The following is a 23794-nucleotide window of genomic DNA, read 5'->3' as shown; positions in this document are numbered from 1 at the left end:
GATATGACCCTGCATTTGGAAAACCTTAAAAACTCCACCAAAAACTATTAAAACTGATAAATTCAGTAAAGTTGCAGGATACAAAATGAACATACAAAAATCAGTAGCATTTCTATATGCCAATAGCAAACAATCTGAAAAATAAGAAAGTAATCCTATTTATAATAGCTACAAATAAAATAAAATACCTAGGAATTAAGCAAAGAATTAAGGATCTCTATAATGAAAACTGTAAAATACTGATGAAAGTAATTGAAGACAACAAAAATTGAAAAATATTCCATGTTCATGGATTGGAAGGATCAATAATGTTAAGATTTCCATATTCCCCAAAGCAATATCCAGATTCAATGCAACCTTTATCAAAATACCAATGACATTCTTCACAGGAATAGAAAAACAATTCTAAAATTTATATGGAACCACAAAGTCCTAGAATAGCTAAAGCTATCTCAAGCAAAAGAACAAAACTGGAGGAATCATATTACTTGACCTCAAATGATATTGCAGAGGTATAGTAACACAAACAGCATAGCACTGGCATAAAAACAGACACATAGACCAATGGAACAGAACAGAGAACCTAGAAACAAATTCATATATCTAAAGTAAAATCCTCTTCAACAAAAGTTCCAAGAACATACATTTGGGAAAAGACAGTCTCTTCAATAAAAGGTGCTTGGAAAATGGGATATCCATATGCAGAAGAATGAAATTAGATCCCTATCTCTTGGCATATACAAAAATCAAATCAAAATGGATTAATGACTTAAATCTAAGACCTCAAATCATGAAACCGCTAAAATTAAACATTGGGGAAACTCTCCAGGACATCGGACTGGGCAAAGATTTATTGAGTAATACCCCAGAAGCACAGGCAACTAAAGCAAAAATGGACACATGGGATTATATCAAGTTTAAAAGTTCCTAAACAGCAAAGGAAACAATAAACAAAGTGAAGAGACAACCTACAAAATGGAATAAAATATTTGCAAACTATCCACCTAACAAGGGATTTAAAACCTGAATATATAAGGAGCTCAAACAACTCTATAGTAAAAAATATAATAACCTGACTTAAAAATGGGCAACTATCTGAACAGATATTTATCATAAGAAGACATACAAATTGCAAACAGGTATATGAAAAGGTGTCCAACATCATTGATCATCAAAGAAATGCAAATCAAAACTACAATAAATATCATCTCATCAAAATTAAAATGGCTTTTCCCAATTAAAAAGACAGGCAATAACAAAGGCTGGCGTGGATATGGAAAAAAATGAACCCTCATAGACAGTTGGTGGGAGTGTTAATTAGTAAAACCATTATGGAGAACACTTTGGAGATTTCTCAAAAAACTAAAAATAGAGGTACTATATGTTCCAATAATCCCACAACTAAGTATATATCCAAAAGAATAGAAATCAGTATGTCAAAGAGACATCTGCACTCCCATGTTTCTTGCAGCACTACTCACAACAGCCAAGATTTGGAAGTAACCTAAGTGTCCATCAATAGATGAATGGATAAAGAAAACATGGTACATATACACAATGGAATACTATTCAGCCTGATATGATTTGGCTGTGTCCCCACCCAAATCTCATCTTGAATTTCCAAGTGTTGTGGAAGGGACCAAGTGGGAAGTAATTGAGTCATGGGGTCAGATCTTTCCTCTGCTATTCTCATGACAGTGATAAAGTCTCATGAGATTGGATGGTTATTATAAGGGGGAGTATTCCTGCACAAGCTCTCTTGTCTTGTCTGCCACCATGTGAGACGTGCCTTTCACCTTCCACCATGATTGTGAGGCCTGCCCAGACATGTGGAACTGTAAGTCCAATAAAACTCTTTCTTTTATAAATTGCCCAGTCTCAAGTATGTATTCATCAGCAGCCTGAAAACAAACTAATGCAGTAAATTGGTTCTAGTAGAGTAGGGCAATCCTGAAAAGATATCTGAATAAGTGGAAGCGACTTTGGAACTGGGTAACAGGCAGAGGTTGGAACAGTTTTGAGGGCTCAGAAGAAGACAGGAAAACTTGGGAAAATTTTGAATTTCCAAGATATTTGTTGAATGGCTTTGACAAAAATGCTGATAATTATATGAACAATAAGGTCCAGGCTGACGTGGTCTCAGATGGAAATGAGGAAATTGTTGGGAACTGGAGCAAAAGTGATGCTTGTTATGTTTTAGCTAAGAGACTGACAGCATTTTGCCCCTGCCCTAGAGATATGTGGAACTTTGAACTTGAGAGAGATGATTAAGGGTATCTGGCAGAAGAAATTTCTAAGCAGCAAAGCATTCAAGAGTTGACTTGGGTTCTGTTAAAAGCATTCCATTTTATAAGGGAAGCAGAGCATAAAAGTTTGGAAAATTTGCAGCCTGACAATGTGATAGAAAAGAAAATCCCATTTTCAGAAAATTTTTGCAATCTATCCATCTGACAAAGGACTAATATCCAGAATCTACAAAGAACTTCACAAATTTATCAGAAAAAAAAAATCAAACAACCCCAACAAAAAGTGGTCAAAGGAGATGAACAGACACTTCTCAAAAGAAGACATTTATGTGGCCAAGAAACATGAAAATAAGCTCATCAACACTGGTCATTAGAAAAATGCAAATCAAAACAATAATGAGATACCATCTCACACCAGTTAGAATGGCAATCATTAAAATGTCAGGAATCAATAGATGCTGGAGAGGATGTGGAGAAACAGGAATGGTTTTACATTGTTAATGGGAGTATAAATTAGTTCAACCATTGTGGAAGACAGTGTGGCAATTCCTCAAGGATCTAGAACAAGAAATACCATTTGACCCAGCAATCCCATTACTGGGTATATACCCAAAGGATTATAAATCATTCTACTATAAAGACACATGCACATGTATGTTTATTGCAGCACTATTCACAAATAGCAAAGACTTGGAACCAACCCAAATGCCCATCAATGATAGACTGGATTAAGAAAATGTGGCACATATACAGCATGGAATACTATGCAGCCATAAAAAGGATGTGTTTATATCTTTTGCAAGGACGTGGATGAAGCTAGAAATCATCATTCTCAGCAAACTAACACAGGAACAGAAAACTAAACACCACATGTTCTCACTCATAAGTGGGAATTGAACAATGAGAACACACAGACACGGGGAGGGGAACATGACACACCAGGGCCTGTCAGGAGGTGAAGGGCTAGGGGAGGGATAGCATTAGGAGAAATATCTAATGTAGATGACGGGTTGTTGGGTGCAGCAAGTCACCATGGCACGTGTATACCTATGTGACAAGCCTGCATGTTCTGCACATGTATCCCAGAACTTAAAGTATAATAATAAAAACAAAGAAAGAAAGAAAGAAAGAAAGAAAGAAAGAAAGAAAGAAAGAAAGAAAGAAAGAAAGAAAGAAAGAAAAGAAAAGAAAAGAAAAGAAAAGAAAATCTCATTTTCTGAGGAGAAATTCAAGCCAGCTGAAGTAGTTTGCATAAGTAACAAGGAGGCCAATATTAATCCCCAAGACAATGGGGAAAATGTCTCCAGAGCATGTCAGAGGTCTTCACAGCAACCTCTCCCATTACAAGCCTAGAGGCCTAGGAGGAAAACGTGGTTTTGTGGGCCAGGCCCAGGGTCCCTGTGCTGTGTGCAGCCTAGGGACTTGGTGCCCTGCATCCCAGCCACTCAAGCCTGGCTGAAAAAGGGCCAACATAGAGCTCAGTCCATGGCTTCAGAGGGTTCAAGCCTCAAACCTTGGCAGCTTCCACATGGTGTTGAGCCTGCCAGTGCACAGAAGTCAAGAATTGGGGTTTGGGAACCCCCACCTAGTTTTCAGAAGATGTATGGAAATGCCTGGATATCCAGACAGAAGTTTGAGCAGGGTGGGGCCCTCATGGAGAACCTCTGCTAGGACAGTGTGGAAGGGAAATGTGGGGTTGGAGCCCCCACATGGAGTCCCTACTAGGGTACTGTCTAGTGGAGTTGTGAGAAGACAGCCACCATCCTCCTGATTCCAGAATGGTAGATTCACTGACAGCTTTCACCATGCACCTGGAAAAACTGCAGACACTAAACGCCAGCCTGTGAAAGCAGCCAGGAGGGAGGCTGTACCATGCAAAGCCACAGGGGAGCTGCCTGAGACCATGGGAACCCACCTCTTGCATCAGTGTTACCTGGATGTGATGCATGAAGTAAAAGGAGATCATTTTGGAGCTTTAAGATTTGATTGCCCCACTGGATTTTGGACTTGCATGGGGCCTGTAGCCACTTTGTTTTGGCCAATGTCTCCCATTTGAAATGCCTGTATTTATCCAATGCCTGTATCCCCATTGTATCTAGGAAGTAACTAACTTGCTTTTGATTTTACAGGCTCAAAGGCAGAAGGGACTTGCCTTGTCTCAGATGAGATTTTGGACTGTGGACTTTTGAGTTAACACTGAAATGAGTTAAGACTTTGGGGGACTGTTGGGAAGGCATGATTGGTTTTGAAATGTGAGGACATGAGATTTGGGAGGGGTCGGGGTGGAATGATATGGTTTGGCTGTGTCCCCACCCAAATCTCATCTTGAATTCCCAAGTGTTGTGGAAGGGACCAGGTGGGAGGTAATTGAATCATGGGGTCAGATCTTTCCCATGCCATTATCATGATAGTGAATAAGTCTCATGAGATCTGATGGTTATTATAAGGGGGAATTATATCTGCACAAACTCTCTTGTCTTATCTGCCACCAAGTGAGACATGCCTTTCACCTTCTGCCATGGTGTGAGGCCTCCCCAGCCATGTGGAACTGTAAGTCCAATAAATCTCTTTATTTTATAAATTGCCCAGTCTCGGGTATGTCTTTATCAGCAGTGTGAAAACAGACTAATACACAGACATAAAAAAAAGTGAGATACCGACATTTGTGACAATATAGATGGAGTTGGAAATAATTATGTTAAGTGAAATGAGCCAGGCACAGAAAGACAAACTGCACATGATCTCACTTATTTGTGGGAGCTAAAAATTAAATGAAGACAGAGAGAGAAGGGAAGATTACCAGAGGCTGGGATGGTAGTAGGGGGTTGGGGAAAGTGGGCATGGTTATTGGGTACAAAAATACAGTTAGAAAGAATGAATAAGGCCGGGCTCAGTGGCTCACGCCTGTAATCCCAGCACTTTGGGAAGCCGAGGCGAGCGGATCACAAGGTAAGGAGATTGAGACCATCCTGGCTAACATGGTGAAACCTCGTCTCTACTAAAAAAAATATAAAAAAGCCGGGCGTGGTGGCGGGCACTTGTAGTCCCAGCTATTCGGGAGGCTGAGGCAGGAGAATGGCGTGAACCCGGGAGGCGGAGCTTGCAGTGAGACGAGATCACACCACTGCACTCCATCCTGGGTGACAGAGCAAGACTCTGTCTCAAAAAAAAAAAGAAAGAAAAAAGAAAGAAAGAATGAATAAGACCTCCTACTTGACAGCATAATAGGATGACTATAGTCAATAATAATAGTACATTTAAAAAAAACTAGCATAACTGGATTGTTTAGTACACAAAGAATAAATGTTTAAGGTGATGACCCCATTTGCCCTGACGTGATTATTACACATTGTATGGTTATATAAAAATATCTTATGTACCCCATTAATATATACACCTACTATATACTCAAAAAATGAAAAAAGAAAAAAACAAGGCAACAACAGCAATAAAAAGAATATAGAGCTCAAAGGACCCCATCAGCACATTCTTTTCTGTGTGCTCCCTTCCATAATGTGTGGCCACTAGCAATGCCTAGTTTGAAGGATGGGAAGAATTTCCCAAAGGCCAGGGGGAAATAGGCCACCATTTCATGCAGGTAATGCCATGAGTAATGACAAGGGGCAGGAAGCAGGTGAATTTTTCAGGGCAAGAGGGAATGGCATAGGCTGAGAGCACTGTGCTGCCTACCATGTGGTAGCGCCTTGGGAGAACAGGAGGAAGAAGGCTTGGCCGACTGACAGCAGCAGCTGGAAAGGGGTTGGGGGTTCAACTGAGGGGTAGCCTTTATCCCAGATAAGCTCTGAACTAGATTTATTTTTGAGAAATATGAAGGTGAAATACAGCCTTTTGCAATTATTTATTTGATGAAATAGCTATGGCTGCTATGTTTATAATTTAAGCATCTATAGATCTCTTACTGAAACTCATTGGCAGTTTGGAATCTTTTGAATTGCAAGAAAAAATGTAAATGTAATCAACAGCAAACATTTAATGAGTGTTTATATAGAGTCTAGGATCTTTATGTCACAGAAAAATTTTTATGGATAAGACACACATATTCTAGATATATCTATATCTATCTATCTTTCCCAGTAAGGAAGGAATGGAGGTAGGATTATGAGTAGCTTATTCAATAGGAAATGTAGCACTTTTCTCACTATTTACCAACTGTTCCACTGTTCCTACCTCCATCTAAGCAACCACCATCTGTCTCCTGTATTCCTGCAGTAGCCACCTGACTGGCCTCCTTGATTCTATCTGACCCCTGTACGTCTATACTCAATAGGGATCACAATGGTTGTTTTCAAGTAGTCATGCCACTCTTCCACTCAGACCACCACAATGCTCCCTTGGAATAAATCTCAAAGCCATAGGATAGCCTATAAGGAAAGCTGCAGGGTCTCACCTTCTTTTTCCTCTCCAATCTCATTTCCTGGTCTTATCCTTTTGATCCAAACTGTTCCCTCAACACTGACCTCCTTGTGATGCACTATTCTGCCTTTGGGTTCTGTAGCAACTGTTTTTGCCACTTGTAACACTCTGTTACAAGATATCTACATACGTCATCCCACATCTCCTAACTATCTTTGGGAACTATCAATTGATTGCATCTCACTTCCAAACCCATCTTCTTTCCCTGCTTGTGACAAAGGAAATAGGCTCTTCAAACATTTTCTTCTGGGCTGGCTGGCCCAGTGTTAAGTTTTGTCCATAGAAGATACTGGAGAAACATTGAAGCAGAAAAGAGTTTTGCTTCCTGGTTCCTGTATCTCACTGGCCAAGCTTCTGCAGTGCAGGTGGCTTCTCCATGCTCAGCTGCTGCAGAACATGCAGCTTCTTTGGCATTTAACTTCTAAGACACCCAAAAGCTATTAGCCGCCTGCTGATCTCAGGCCATTATGTAGTGCAGTGCAGTATCTCTGGTGAGAAACTCCTGGGGACAGTTTTCCCCAGCACCCTAGAGGGTAATTCTCTGACAAGTTGCAAAGGCTGCATTTCCAGCAAGTCCTGCCTTGCACAGTTCCATAGCAGTGTCTCTGGCTCCGATGACGCAAAACTGCGCACTCCCAACAAGGTCTGGATCTTAGCCCTGGGCCAGAGGCTACTCTGACTCAGCCCTGGGAGTTAGTGGCTGCTCCTTGTATCTTCTATTCTTGTATTATTTGCAGCTTGCTTTACTTTTTACCAGACAATTCTCTTACTCCAATCCTCTTGTCATTACTGATTCTTTACAGTAAACTTTTCCTGTTCCAATTACTATAAGGTTTCTCTCTCCTGTCGGGCCTAGACTGATACAATATTTTAGCTCAAATATCAAGATGATGTCTTTTCTGTCCTCTACTTAAAATTTCCTTCTGCATCTCTTTACCTTGCTTTGGATTTTTCTTTCTTCTATTGCACTGATCATCTTCCAACATACTAGCCAGTTTATGGATTATGTTTATGATTTATCAACTGCTTACTTCTGTAGAATATAAACACCTCAAAGGTAAACATCTATTTCACTTTTGCTCATGGATATATCTGCGACTTGTAGAATAATGCTTGGCCCGTAGTAGGTGCTCAATAAATATTTATTAAAGAACAATCATATGGATTCCAAGCATCTGTCTCTCTGAAGAATGCCTACATTGGCCCCTGCTGTGGGAATTTAACTTGTTGCCAATGGCTACGGTTAGTATTCCCACATCCTTTGGGGGAATGAGGGAAATGCTAGTCCTCCCACTTGTCCTAGGTTATAAATTATAGAAGCTGCTTATCGTTGTATGCACAGGCCTTCAGACGCAATATTTCCCTAAACTATCATACAGGAATGTTTTCTCAACATCTCCAAATTGATTTAGCCATTTTAATCAAATCAAGAAATCCTTATTCGGTTGTTTTTTTTTAATGTGCCAATTAATTTTACATTTAATTTACTTGTATTCCCTGTCAAGCCAGTTTACTCATATTGCTAAAACAAAGATTTTCACAGATACTGAAATGTAAATTTTGGTTAGAAACATAGGATAACCTGCCAGTTAAGAAACAGATCTGTATAACTCTGGCTTCCTTTATCTGATAGCAAATGTTTATATGACATGTAAATAACCATAGCCAAGTTACCTAGACATAGTTAGGGAAAAAATTAAATTACAAAATATTGAAACAAGTGAGGTCTAATTTTCATTTATCTGGCTACTATTTAATTTATGGGAGCAGAGTCTTTTTACTATATGGAAGTGAATATCTCTAATTTGAATTTCATTTCTATGTACTTTTTTTTTTTGAGACAGAGTCTTGCTCTGTCACCCAGGCTGGAGTGTAGTGGTGCGATCTTGGCTCACTGCAACCTCCACCCCTTGGGCTCAAGTGATCCTCCAGTCTCAGCCTCAGAAGTACCTGGGACCACAGGTGCACACCACCATGCCCAGCTATTTGTTTTGTATTTTTAGTAGAGATGGGGTCTTTCCATTTTGCTTAGGCTAGTTTCAAACTCCCGAGCTCAAGCACTCCACCCGCCTTAGCCTTCCAAAGTGCTGGGATTATAGGCATGAGCCACCGCACCCAGCTGGCTTTCTTTTAAAGATAGCCCAGCTCTTATATCACACAGAGATGGAAGACTATAGAAGATAAAATAAACAACAGGACTCCTTAAATAATGATTGTATATGGAGAGTAGAACTTTTGTTACTTGGAACTGCAAGGACATTACTCAGTTTGGTTAGCCACATTTTTGGAGACATAAGAGCATTTTTATTCAGTAGCAACATACTTTTTCATTTTAAGCATTTTTATAAGAAATATTTCTAAAATACATATGTCCTTATTTTCAACAGTTAAAGACACTTCCTCTGAGAAGCCATCTTTGGCCCTTCTAGTTTGGGGTAGGTGCCCTTGATCTATGCTCACAAAATACCTGGTATCTTCCCTTCCAAAGCACAGATTTCATTTCACTGTTGACATCAGTGGGCTACACTGGGTTGTCATGACTTTTAAGGGAGAGAATCTATCTTTCTTGTTTCTCTATTGCCTAGCATAGTATCGTGCCACATGCATAGTAGACACTCAGTAAATATCTGTTGACTAATGACATCTTCAAGGGCATCACTGCAAACACTGAAAACAACACAGGGCAGATCATAATCAAGGCCTTGTAAGTGGGTGGTGCTATGTATACATTCTTTAAACTTTGGCTAGTAGCAGGTACCAGTCCTTTCATGTTCTTTTCCCCTGCTTGTACATTGTTTCCTAATATGCTATAGGGTTAGAGACCCCAAATCAAATTTATACTAAGTAAAAATAAGTTTAAAAATTAAAGAAAGAAATAAACTAAAATTCACAAGTTTTAGTGCAAGAAGAAGGAGTTTGGCTTCTCTAAGTTCCTTCTTATTCTTAGTTTTCAGCTGTTCTGGTTAGACAAAGTTGTCAGAAAGCAGAGATTTCCAAAGGGCAATGTGTTCCTGTGTTCTGCTCCATGTAGACCACTTAATTTAATACATATTAATAGCTAAAAATAAATTGTAAAAAGCAGGTCTTAAATCACTGCCCTCCTACTTAACAAGAAAAATCATAGATAGCAATTCATATAATAGAAACTGTTAGTGCAGCTATAGAGCCATAAAATCAAAGTACTCTTTATGCAATAAGTCTATGCTTCACTGAAGTCAATTAAAGCAAGATTTATGCACACAGGCAGTCACTCCACCTTAAAAAATGGCTTTTACACACTGTAAGGTAGGGTGAAGAACTGCTCAAAAGCTGGATCCCTACATAATGGAAAAAAAGGAATGAATCTGGAAATATATACCTGTCCTCTAAGAATATGATAGAAATGGCTAAGTGAAACCGGAAATATACAGGCATAAGAAAGATTAAAATTAACATCCAGAAATCATTTAAGGAAAAGAAATCTCAGCTCTCTGTTGCATCTCAATTGATAACATTATTCTTTAACCTTATATAAATGGCACAAGCTGAACATTCTTTGATTTATATTATTTGGATAAAGTAAAAGATACATGGTGCCAACAACACATTAGTCTGTCAACAGTATTCTTTGTGACAACCCATAATTAGTTTGTGTACCAATCAAGATTCATAAATACAAAACAACTGAAGAAAGGCAGGGTTTTACAAACCGAAAGAGCCAGCAAAGCAATCTCATCTTTTACATCATTCAGAGTGGTTGCTGTATTATAAACAAAGCAGGGCCTGAGTGATGGATGGAGAGAAAATGCACTCGCTCTCTGAGGATCATAAATCACCATGCTTTTCTCTAAGCTCTCCAATATCGGAACTTCTTTCTACATTAAAGGTGCCTGAAAGTGCATTAACTCTTCATAGTAATTAGTCTCCTGAAAGACTTATTTATGAAAACATACATTATTCAAAATGTTCCCATTCATCATTACTTATTAAGCCCACGTCTGCAGTAGGCATCAAAGGTACAACGACAAAAGGACAAGGTCCATGTCTCTAAGGTATAGTCTCATTGGGATACAAAAAAGATAGGCAGATATTTACAATAAAATATATTAGCAGATATAATGGCATTGTACACAAAGTATAGTTCAATCACAGAAAAATGCCTACATAAGTTATTACAGAGAAGGTAGTTGACCCTGTTCCTTGAGGGATGAGTGGAAATTTGTTGCAGAGAATAACTTGGAAAAGAAACTCCAGAAAGAAAATTTTACAAGCAAGGGCACAGAGGCAGGAACAAGCATGGTTTGTCTGGAGTAAACTAGGTAGTCTGAGTTGGCTGTAAGAGGCATGGTTGGCAGGAGGTGTGGCTCTGCAGGCAGGAGCAGATGAAAAAGGTCATGCTAATGAGTTCAGTTTTATCAGATAAATGATAAGCAGGATAGTCACACGATCAGATGAAATGAGCAGAATGGTGCTATAATTGGATACACATGTGAGAAAATCCTCTCTGAAAGTAATAGGGATGATGGATTTGTGAAAGTGAACCTGCAGGAAAGATGACCAGTTAGGTGCCCATGCAATTGTCCAGGTGGGAAACATGATGGCCTGAATGAGATAGGAGCATAAAAGTGCAAACAGGTGGAGAGACTGACATAAGTGGAGCAGAATTGGCTGGACTTGATCACTGATGAGAGATCAGGGCAAGTGAAGGAGTGCAATCCAATTAGGCTCTTGCATGTCTAACTTGGGTGTCAAGATAAAAAACCATGGAGGAAACGCCTGGGTCAGTGTGGATATGACAAGTTTGAAGGCTCTCTGTGATATCTACAGATAGATGTATGTGTGAAGATTGGGACATCTGGAGATAATGTGGAATTCATGACTTATTTATTCAACAAAGATTAGAGTGAGAAGACAGGAGAGCCAGTGAGAGTTCAGAGACATCATTTAAGAATCAGGCAAAACAACAGACACCCTCAAGGAGACAAATAGAGTAGTAAGAAGATGAAAATTAGTAGAGGGTTAGGCATAAAAAGCCAAGGAGCATGGGATTTAGGAAGTATGGAGGTTCATAGTCTAAAATGCTGAAGAGACATACCAAAGGATAGGGATAAAAGGACAACATTGAGAAGAGAACCGAGATTCAATTTAGTGTCATGGCTAGGGCATCAGAGAGCAGTGGATTTTGGATGAGGGTGGAGGCCTCAGAGCAAACATGTGCAGGAGGCCTTTCAGTAGCCAGCTAAGCAGGAAGGGAGGGATGCAGGACGGTGGCCTGAAGGAGCCACCTGCTCAAAGATGCAGTCTCAAATGAGTTAATTTCATTGTCAGACTGCTCTGGGGTACATTCACCCATTAGAAAGATTTCTTTCCATTACTATTAAATCTATGAGATGGAGAGTAGCAGTATAAACAAGAAAAAGTCACTTTCTTAAAATTAAAAAAAAAATAATTTTATAGTTTTGTACAGTACCAAACGCTTTATATTATCAAATGGGAAAAATGTTTTTGTCAGGTATACTCTCTAAAAAAATACTGACTGAGGCCAGGCACGGTGGCTCACGCCTGCAATCCCAACACTTTGGGAGGCCAAGGTGGGTGGATCACGAGGTCAGAAGATCGAGACCATCCTGGCCAACATGGTGAAACCCCGTCTCTACTAAAAATACAAAAAATTAGCCAGGTGTGGTGGCAGGCACCTGTACTCTTAGCTACTCAGGAGGCTGAAGCAGGAGAATTGCTTGAACCCAGGAGGCAGAGGTTGCAGTGAGCCAAGATAGTGCCACTGCACCCTAGCCTGGGCGACAGAGTGAGACTCCGTCTCAAAAAATAAATAATAAAAATAAAATAAAAACACTGAGTTGGAAAGACGAGAATGAAGCCAAGTTATCTCCCAGGGAACATGCTTATATAAATATAGGCAGGGGCCAGGCACGGTAGTTCATGCCTGTCTTCCCAGCACTTATGGAGGCCGAGGCGGGTAGATCACTTGAGGCCAGGAGTTTGAGACTACCCTGTCCAACATGGCAAAACCCTGTCTCTACTAAAAATAAAAAATTAGTTGGACGTGGTGGCTCATGTCTGTAATGCCAGCTACTCGGGGGGCTGAGGCAGAGAATGGCTTCAACCTGGGAGGCAGAGGCTGCAGTGATGAGCAGAGATCATGCCACTTCACTCCAGCCTGGGCGACAAGAGAGAGACTCTATCTCAAAAACAAACAAACAAAAAAACATAAAACAAAAAACAAACAAAAGATAGGCAAGCTCTGAGGTGCCTTCTGAGGACGGTGGCATCGATTTCCTTTAGGTCTTAGGGGCCATGTTGAAGTCTAGAAACATGAAGGAAAGGTAAAACATTTGATGAGAAAAGAGATAAAGAGGTGGAAGTCGTTTAATAAAGGCAGGTTATGAACTCCTTTCTGCCATTTTGTTTAGAAAATCCTAGTAATTATTAATTCAATAATTTAGCACAATACTTTCTAATGCTTTCATATAAATGCAAAGAAGAGATCAATCTTTATATAGGTTTGAGGCCAGACAAAAACAGAGACTTCGGGGAAAGTTGCAATGAGGGTTACATTTAGTATTCTGCCCTTTCTCCACTTCGTCTGCAGACATGCTTTTTGATGTCTATTCACCCATTACTGGAAATTGATGCAATTGTTGCAATTAAGGAATTGTATAACTTGGGAACATCGAGTCTCATATTTCTCACCAAAATGCTACAGAACAGGCAGAGATCAGAAAGGTACACAGCATAAATTAACATCACCAATCCCTACAATCCAGGGGTTCTGGAGAATCACAGGTGAAAGCACTGGGAAGTGGGTTTGCTGTATCAAGAACACTGTGCATTATCTGTTCCACAACTCTCTAGGGATTTAGGGGACCAGTTCCCATGCTGGGTCAACAAGAGAGCTCCCAATGAGGAAACTCAGCAGTGAGGATCATTCAGACTGATGTTTATGCACACTCTAATTTTAATCCTAATATCATTTTAGTGTCAGTATTTTACTTGGATCTTTATGTTCTAGAAGTTCTTTGGCCTGAGGACTGCTGGACTAAAGAGTGTATTTTCTCACATGTGAAGCCAAAGGAAATGAGATTTTTTCCAACCAATAAAATAATCCAAGCACTTTGCGGCGGGATGATTTCCATTATGTGGAGCAAAGGAAAGACAAAGAGAAAAATAGGGAAGGGAATTATATTTTACCCTATTTATTTGCCAAGTATTTAGAATGTATTGTGATATTTCTATTATCCCATAGAATTTTAGTTTACCTTTTGCAGTTTTCATTAACTTTCCATGAGTTGACTTTTGAAGCATTCAACCAGATAGCTGCATGGTTTCTAGGAAAGCAATATATGCCTGTTCCTAGTATCACCCTGATAACTCAGAATTCTAGGTTGGACACAAGATTCCTGCCCTCTGGAGTTTATACCCTGTATAATTCTCTCTCATTGAGTGCAGAAGCAGGACCATGAATATGATGGTATTTCATTCCTTTGATTAAGTTAGGGATTATGGAAGAAGGTGAAGCGATTTTCCAGTTATAATTATTGCTTTTACTAGGTTGACTCTGAGTTAATAAGAAAGGAGATTAGGCCCAGTGCAGTGGCTCACACCTGTAATCCCAACATTTTGGGAGGCCAAGACAGGAGGATCATTTGAGTCAGGAGTTTGAGATGAGCCCAGGCAACATAACAAGACCTTGTCTCTACAAAAAATAGAAAAATTAGCTGAGCATGGTGACACATAACTGTAGTCCAAGCTACTTGAGAGGCTGAGGTGGGACGATTGCTTGAGCCCAGGAGTTTGAGGCTGCAATAAGCTATGATCATGCCACTGTGCCCCAGCCTGCGCAACAGAGAAGAAAGACCCTGTCACAGAATAATAATAATAAAGTAGATTGTTCTGGGTGGGCCTGTGTTAATCAGGTGAACTCTTTAAAAGAGGGTCCAGGCTTTACCTGAAAGGACAGAATCAACATCCAAGAAACTCTTCTGTTCTTGAGAAGCAAGCTACTGCATGTTCTATAACAGCATAAATAAATAATAAAAAGAAGTTTTGCCAACAACTATGTAAGCTTGAGAAAGAACTCTGAGCCTCAGATGAGACTCCAGCTTCAGCTGACACCCTAGATTGAAGCCTTGGAAAATCCTGAGCTGACTCCTAACCCAAGGAAACTGTGAACTAATAGAGGTATGTTGCTTTAATCCATTACATTTGTGGTAGTTCGTTACACAGCAATAAAACACACCTCTAAATCAATGCCTGATTACAATAGACACACAGGCACATTGGGCTTATTGATTTCTCATGGAAGGCTCCATCTGTGCCAACAACATGGGTAATGAGTCATATTATGAATCTAAGACACTGAACAAACTAGGCCAATGCTGAACTTAATAGGAAGATGTTGGGTGAGACCAGTAAAAAGGCAGGGTATTCTTTGGACTGGACAACAACCATGGCAAGAACCGAGAGAAAGATGCATTGCATGATGACTTGACTTGCAAACTGTTTCATTCATGAGCCTCAGGGTACGTTTAGAAAAAGATCACACATGGTAGATGCGCAACTCCATCTCCATCTGAGCAGTGCCTGGTTTGACAGATGGGTCTTACACTAGGAAGCCTAGCAGCATCTGATTCTGCCAACCTGGGAAGAGAAATCCAGGAATGTGGGCCTTCAGTTATAATCTCCTACATCCTTTCCTCATAAAACAAGAATACACATTAGAACACTATCCAATGCAAAAAACAATGGAGATTTTGAGAGTTTGCTTTCAACCTTCTTTGTGCTTTATTAGTATAGTGCTAAGCAGTGTTTTGAGCACTTCTAGGGGGCACACTATGAAGTACAAGTGCCACTTGCTATGTGAACAAAGGCATTAACAAGGCAAGTTGCAGCCATGTAGACAAGCCTGTCAAAAAGCCACCAGAAAAGCCATTGCTGAGCCATTTGAAGGAACTAAAAATGTTGCTGAAAAAGGAGACTCTTTCAGAAGAGCCAAATAAATTCAGAAAAAGCTAAGCAGCTATTCAAAGGGCTACATATGTCAGTATTTGCTGAACCTCTATCATCTCATTTATTTTCAAAGTCTGGCCAGGGACATTTGGGAAGTCACTGCTGTTGTCTTAACCACCCTCCCCTACCTGAGAATACAGCCCAGCAATGACAGGGGAAGGGAAGTAGGGTTATCAAGCATCTGCTATTTGTCAGACACTAAGCCAGGTGCTTTGCTAAGTTGCTTTTCTCTGTCTAGAAACTTTGTATGATGGATTATTTTTTGATTGCTGCTTAACAAGTGATCACAAATTTAGCAGCTTAAAAATCAATACCTTTACTAGCTCACACTTCTGTAGATCAGATGTCTGGGCACAGCCAGAATCCAAAAGGCTATGTTCTCTGCTCAGGGTCCCATAAGCTCAAATAAAGGTAGCAGCCAAGCTGAATCTTCATTTGGAGGTTCCAGGGAAAAATCTACTTCCAGGCTCACTCATTGTTGGCAGAATTCAGTTCCTTGCAGTTATAAAACCAGGTCCCACCTTTCTTGCTGACTTTCAGCCATGGTGCTGCTCTCAACTCTCAGAGGCTGCCCATGTGCCTTACCACATGGCCCCTCTATCTTCAAGCCAGCAACTGTGCCTCAGGTCCAAAGATGATACAGAAGTAGTACAGCAGGGAGTGGGGGAATCTTGAATACCGTCTTAGAATTCTGCCTACCACATATGGTGAGTATTGTTATTTCCATCTTACAGAGAGAAAACTGAGGCTGAGGAAGAGAAAGAATGCTAATGTCTGCAGCACTGATATGAAACCAAGATCTGTGTGCTGGGCTTTTGTTGTACCCATCATTCAAATAGTGCACATTGTATCCACTAGATGATTTTTCAGCCCTCACCACCATCCATCCTTCTACCTCTTGGAGTCTCCAATGTTGTCTATTATTCTACTCTGTTTGTCCATGTGTACCCATTGTTTGGCTCCCACTTATAAGTGAGAACATGAGGTATATGACTTCCTGTTTCTGAGTTATTTCACTTAGGATGACTTCCAGTTCCATCTAATCTGATAGAAAAGACATTTCATTCATTGTTATGGCTATGTAGTATTCTATGATCCATTTGTATGTGTATGCTGCATTTTCTTTATTCAATCCTCCATTGATGGACACTTAGGTTGATTCCATATCTTTGTTATTGTGAATAGCGCTGCGATAAACATACAAGTGTGTAATGAACTACCACAAATTTAATGTATTAAAACAAAAGAAAACATTTGATGAAATGGTTTCTTTCCCTTTGGGTATATACCTAGTAGTGAGATTGCAGCATCAAACGGCAGTTCTAGTTTTACTTCTTTAAGAAATGCCCATACAATTTTCCATAAAGGTTGTACTAATACATATTCCAACTGACAGTGTATAATGTTCCCTTTTCTTTGCATCTTTGCCAACATCCATTTTTTAACTTTTTAATAATAGCCATTCTAACTAGCATAAGATGACATCATACTGTGGTTTCAATTTGGATTTCTGTGATGATTGGTGATGTTGAACATTTTTTTCATATGTTTATTGGCTGCTTGTATGTCTTCTCTTGAAAAGTATCTATATATGTCCTTTGCCTACTTTGTATGGGGTTACTCATTTTTTCCTTTAGTTGTTTGAGTTTCTTATAGATTCTGGATATTAAGCCTTTTTCAGATGCATAGCTTGCAAATGTTTTTTCTACAGTTTCTCTGTTTACTCTGTTAATTGTTTCTTTTGCTGTGTAAAAGCTTTTTAGTTTAAGTCCCATTTGTCTAGTTTTGTTTTTGTTGTGTTTGCTTTTGAGGACATGGTCAAATTCTTTGCCTAGACCAATGTCCAGAGGCATTTTTGCTAAATTTTCTCCTAGGACTTGTATAGCTTCAGGTCTTATATTTGGATCTTTAATCCTTCTTGAGTTGATTTTTGTATATGCTGAGAGGTATGGATCCAGCTTTGTGATGGTTAATACTGAGTGTCAATTCGATTGGGCTGAAGGATGCAAAACATTGTTCCTGGGTGTGTCTGTGAGGGTGTTGCCAAAAGAGATTAACATTTGAGTCAGTGGACTGGGAAAGGCAGACTCACCCTCAATCTTGATAGGCACCATCAAATCAGCTGCCAGTATGGCTAGAATAAAAGCAGGTAGAAGAATGTGGAAGGACTTGACTTGCTGAGTCTTCCAACCTTCATCTTTCTCCCATGTTAGATGCTTTCTGCTCTTGAACATCAGACTCCAAGTTCTTCCACTTTTAGACTCTTTGACTTACACCAGTGGTTTGCCAGGGCCTTCAGCCACAGACTGAAGGCTGCACTTTTGGCTTCCCTACTTTTGAGGTTTTGGAAGTCAAACTAGCTTCCTTGAACCTCAGCTTGTGGATGGCCTATTGTGGGACTTCACCTTGTGATCATGTGAGTCAATACTCCTTAATAAACTCCCCATCATATATGCATCTATCCTATCAGTTCTGTCCCTCTGGAGAATCCTGACTAATACAAGCTTCATTCTTTTGCATATGGCTATCCAATTTTCCCAGAAGCATTAAATAGAGTGTTCTATCCTCAGTGTACATTTTTGTTAACTTTGTCAAAGATCAGTTAGTTATAGGTAGGTGGCTTTATTTCTGGGTTCTCTATTCCCTTCCATTGACCTATATGTTTACTTTTATACCAGTACCATGCTGTTTTGGTTGCAGTATCCTTGCAGTATAAAGTCAGATAATGTGATCTCCCCAGTTTTGTTCCTTTTAAGGATTGCTTTGGCTATTCAGGCCTTGTTTTTTTGGTTTCATGTGAATTTTAGGATTGGTTTTACTCATTATATGAAAAATGACATTGGTAATTTGATAGGGATTGTGTCAAATCTCTAGATTGCTTTGGACAATATGGTCATTTTAATCATACTGATTCTTCTAGTCCATAAACATGGATGTTTTTCCATTTGTGTCATCTATGATTTCTTTCATCAGTATTTTGTAGTTGTCCTTATAGAGATGTTTCACTACCTTGGTGAAATATATTCCTAGATATTTTTATAGCTATTATAAATGGGATTGACTTTTTGAATTGGTCCTCAGCTAGATATATATACATATAAAATTTTATTGATGTCTGAATGTTGATTTCCTATCGTGGTACTTTACTGAATTCATTTATCAAATATAGGGAGGTTTTTTTTTTTGGTGGTATCTTTAGGTTTTTCTAGATACGAGATCAAATCATCAGTGAACAGGGATAATTTGACTTCCTCTTTTCCAATTTGGATGCCTTTTATTTATTTCTTACCTGACTGCTCTTGTGAGGACTTCCAGGAATAGTCTTTTAAAAAACGTTATGGCCACTTATAAGTGTCACAGATCTGCACTAGGAACTGAGAAAGCAAAATCAAATATGTGGCTGGCCCTGACTGGTGCTGACTTAAGTCCTCAAACTAGGATTCTAATCTGGGAAACCTGTAAGTTCCCCAAGATGAACACACTCAATTTGTTTCCACTCCTTTTTCTTCAACTGTCTCCAGGTTGTTTCTAAAATTTTACACTGGAAGAAAATCTAATTCTGGCTTCTTTAAGTTGGTCAACACCAAACAGCCATAATCAACAGATATTCTTTATAGGAAAAAGCACAGTATTAAAATGTGTTAAACCATTTATTCTCTAGATAAACACCCGATTACATGAAAGAAAGGCACGTGTTTGTCATGCCAGATTTTCTGGTTTCTAGAAATTGTTCCTTTAACTCATTGCTGGCTCTATGACCTGGATAGAGTAAAACAGGCTATGCTGGTGAAGTAGAACCAAAACTGTTTGTAAGCAACAAGAAAGAAAGGACCATTTGTGTTCTCTCTGTTGCTGGAGCTGGATCCCAGTACAACAGGGTAGATACTCAAAGTATTTTCTGAATAAATGGAGGCATGAGAAATGACATTATTAAAGGCTCTAAATTACTTTTTTGGGTAATTCTTAAAAAGAGGTTTTGTGTCTATTTTTAAGGCAGTGACTTATAACAAACTTCAGCTTCACTTGGTTCTGGCTCAACCACACATTCCAAGATTGTAACAACAACCATGATTGCAAATATTGTAGCAGGTATCCCAATTTTTGCTTCCAAAGACATGACTTTACTAAACATGTCTAAAACAAAATCAGAAATCAGGAGAACTATCCCAATCAAAAGTATTTCTTGATGGCTTTGTAAAGAGACAGTCATGAAATTATATAATAAAGAAGTTTGAAAATAACTTGAGGAAGAGTTCATAACAAATGGAAGGTAGGAATACTTAGCTGGTTCTTGTAAACACTTGAAAATGTAGAGATAATTAAAGGTTAATAAAGCAAGACTAATAAAGAAGAAAAGAGAGAAGAATCAAATAGATGCAATAAAAAATGATAAAGGGGATATCACCACTGATCCCACAGAAATACAAACTACCATCAGAGAATACTACAAACACCTCTATGCAAATAAACTAGAAAATCTGGAAGAAATGGATAAATTCCTCGACACATACACCCTCCCAAGACTAAACCAGGAAGAATTTGAATCTCTGAATAGACCAATAACAGGCTCTGAAATTGTGGCAATAATCAATAGCTTACCAACAAAAAAGAGTCCAGGACCAGATGGATTCACAGCCGAATTCTACCAGAGGTACAAGGAGGAACTGGTACCATTCCTTCCGAAATTATTCCAATCAATAGAAAAAGAGGGAATCCTCCGTAACTCATTTTATGAGGTTAGCATCATCCTGATACCAAAGCCAAGCAGAGACACAACCAAAAAAGAGAATTTTAGACCAATATCCTTGATGAACATTGATGCAAAAATCCTCAATAAAATACTGGCAAACCGAATCCAGCAGCACATCAAAAAGCTTATCCACCATGATCAAGTGGGCTTCATCCCTGGGATGCAAGGCTGGTTCAATATACGCAAATCAATAAGTGTAATCCAGCATATAAACAGAACCAAAGACAAAAACCACATGATTATCTCAATAGATGCAGAAAAGGCCTTCGACAAAATTCAACAACCCTTCATGCTAAAAACTCTCAATAAATTAGGTATTGATGGGATGTATCTCAAAATAATAAGAGCTATCTATGACAAACCCACAGCCAATATCATACTGAATGGGCAAAAACTGGAAGCATTCCCTTTGAAAACTGGCACAAGACAGGGATGCCCTCTCTCAGCACTCCTATTCAACATAGTGTTGGAAGTTCTGGCCAGGGCAATTAGGCAGAAGAAGGAAATAAAGGGTATTCAATTAGGAAAAGAGGAAGTCAAATTGTCCCTGTTTGCAGATGACATGATTGTATATCTAGAAAACCTCATTGTCTCAGCCCAAAATCTCCTTAAGCTGATAAGCAACTTCAGCAAAGTCTCAGGATACAAAATCAATGTACAAAAATCACAAGCATTCTTATACACCAAGAACAGACAAACAGAGAGCCAAATCATGAGTGAACTCCCATTCACAATTGCTTCAAAGAGAATAAAATACCTAGGAATCCAACTTACAAGGGATGTGAAGGACCTCTTCAAGGAGAACTACAAACCACTGCTCAATGAAATAAAAGAGGATACAAACAAATGGAAGAACATTCCATGCTCATGGGTAGGAAGAATCAATACCATGAAAATGGCCATACTGCCCAAGGTAATTTATAGATTCAATACTATCCCCATCAAGCTACCAATGACTTTCTTCACAGAATTGGAAAAAACTACTTTAAAGTTCATATGGAACCAAAAAAGAGCCGGCATCGCCAAGTCAATCCTAAGCCAAAAGAACAAAGCTGGAGGCATCACGCTACCTGATTTCAAACTATACTACAAGGCTACAGTAACCAAAACAGCATGGTACTGGTACCAAAACAGAAATATAGATCAATGGAACAGAACAGAGCCCTCAGAAATAACACCACACATCTACAACTATCTGATCTTTGACAAACCTGAGAAAAACAAGCAATGGGGAAAGGATTCCCTATTTAATAAATGGTGCCAGGAAAACTGGCTAGCCATATGTAGAAAGCTGAAACTGGATCCCTTCCTTACACCTTATACAAAAATCAATTCAAGATGGATTAAAGACTTAAATGTTAGACCTAAAACCATAAAAACCCTAGAAGAAAACCTAGGCATTACCATTCAGGACATAGGCATGGGCAAGGACTTCATGTCTAAAACACCAAAAGCAGTGGCAACAAAAGCCAAAATTGACAAATGGGATCTAATTAAACTAAAGAGCTTCTGCACAGCAAAAGAAACTACCATCAGAGTGAACAGGCAACCTACAAAATGGGAGAAAATTTTTGCAACCTACTCATCTGACAAAAGGCTAATATCCAGAATCTACGATGAACTCAAACAAATTTACAAGAAATAAACAAACAACCCCATCAAAAAGTGGGCGAAGGACATGAACAGACACTTCTCAAAAGAAGACATTTATGTAACTGAAAAACACATGAAAAAATGCTCACCATCACTGGCCATCAGAGAAATGCAAATCAAAACCACAATGAGATACCATCTCACACCAGTTAGAATGGCAATCATTAAAAAGTCAGGAAACAACAGGTGCTGGAGAGGATGTGGAGAAATAGGAACACTTTTACACTGTTGGTGGGAGTGTAAACTAGTTCAACCCTTGTGGAAGTCAGTGTGGCGATTCCTCAGGGATCTAAAACTAGAAATACCATTTGACCCAGCCATCCCATTACTGGGTATATACCCAAAGGATTATAAATCATGCTGCTATAAAGACACATGCACATGTATGTTTATTGCAGCACTATTCATAATAGCAAAGACTTGGAACCAGCGCAAATGTCCAACAATGATAGACTGGATTAAGAAAATGTGGCACATATACACCACGGAATACTATGCAGCCATAAAAAATGATGAGTTCATGTCCTTTGTAGGGACATGGATGAAGCTGGAAATCATCATTCTCAGTAAACTATCGCAAGAACAAAAAACCAAACACTGCATATTCTCACTCATAGGTGGGAACTGAACAATGAGAACACATGGACACAGGAAGGGGAACATCACACTCTGGGGACTGTTGTGGGGTGGGGGGAGGGGGAGGGACAGCTTTAGGAGATATACCTAATGCTAAATGATGAGTTAATGGGTGCAGCACACCAGCATGGCACATGTATACATATGTAACTAACCTGCACATTGTGCGCATGTACCCTAAAACTTAAAGTATAATAATAAAATAAAATAAAAAATAAAAAATAAAAAAATAAAATATTCTTTATACTAAATACTATGTTAATATCATATTATTAAAAGATTATGCCTTGGGAATACTTATTAATATTACAATATTATTAAAAGGTTATTTTGCCTGGGGAATATTTCTTAATGCCATAATATTGTTAAAAGATTATTACAACTGAGGAATATTTTTCTGTTTATTTGGGCCATTGTGCAATTCTTTTTGCTCCTTTTCCTTATTTTCATTTTATTTATTTTTGATACAGAGTCTCACTCAGTCGCCCAGGCTTCGATTCAGTAGCACAGTCTCAGCTCACTGCAATCTCTGCCTCCTGGGTTCAAGCAATTCTCCTGCCTCAGCTTTCTGAGTAGCTGGGATTACAGGCTCCCGCCCACATGCCTGGCTAGTTTTTATATTTTTAGACCGATGGGGTTTCACCTTGTTGGCCAGGCTACTCTCGAACTCCTGACCTCCAATAATCCACCTGTCTAGGCCTCCTAAAGTGCTGGGATTATAGGTGTAAGCCACCATGCCTGGCCTATTTATTTTTAATTGGCAAAAATTGTGTATATTTGCCATGTATAATATGTTATTTTGAAATATGTATACATTGTAGAAAGGCTAAATTGAGCTAATTTATTTATATATATATATATAAGCTCACAAGCTAATATATATATATATATATATATAAGCGCACACGCTAATATATATATATATATATATATATATATATATATATATATATATATATTAGCTCACATACTGTTTTTTTTTGTAATGAGAACTCAAAGTCTCTTAAGGATGCTCAATACAATATGTTGTTATTAAGTATAGTTACCATGATGTACCGTAGATGTTTTG

At 38.9% G+C, this 23794-nt stretch overlaps 1 protein-coding gene across 4 annotated transcripts in view, besides 1 other annotated feature; it reads right to left on the bottom strand.

The window, feature by feature from the left end:
* Window positions 1-23794, bottom strand: part of NYAP2 (neuronal tyrosine-phosphorylated phosphoinositide-3-kinase adaptor 2) — a 305716-nt gene that overhangs the window by 161449 nt on the left and 120473 nt on the right. The window lies entirely within an intron of this gene.
* Window positions 11306-11506: a silencer, noted in NCBI's record as "peak4060 fragment used in MPRA reporter construct". NCBI's record gives its function as "represses an SCP1 promoter by STARR-seq MPRAs in K562 erythroleukemia cells {active_cell/tissue: K562}" and the evidence as "EXISTENCE:reporter gene assay evidence [ECO:0000049][PMID:32103011]".

Source organism: Homo sapiens, chromosome 2, assembly GCF_000001405.40.
Source record: "Homo sapiens chromosome 2, GRCh38.p14 Primary Assembly".
Lineage (NCBI taxonomy): Eukaryota > Metazoa > Chordata > Mammalia > Primates > Hominidae > Homo > Homo sapiens.
Note: the sequence above shows the minus strand (reverse complement) of the source record. Positions and strands in the feature narration are given on the sequence as shown.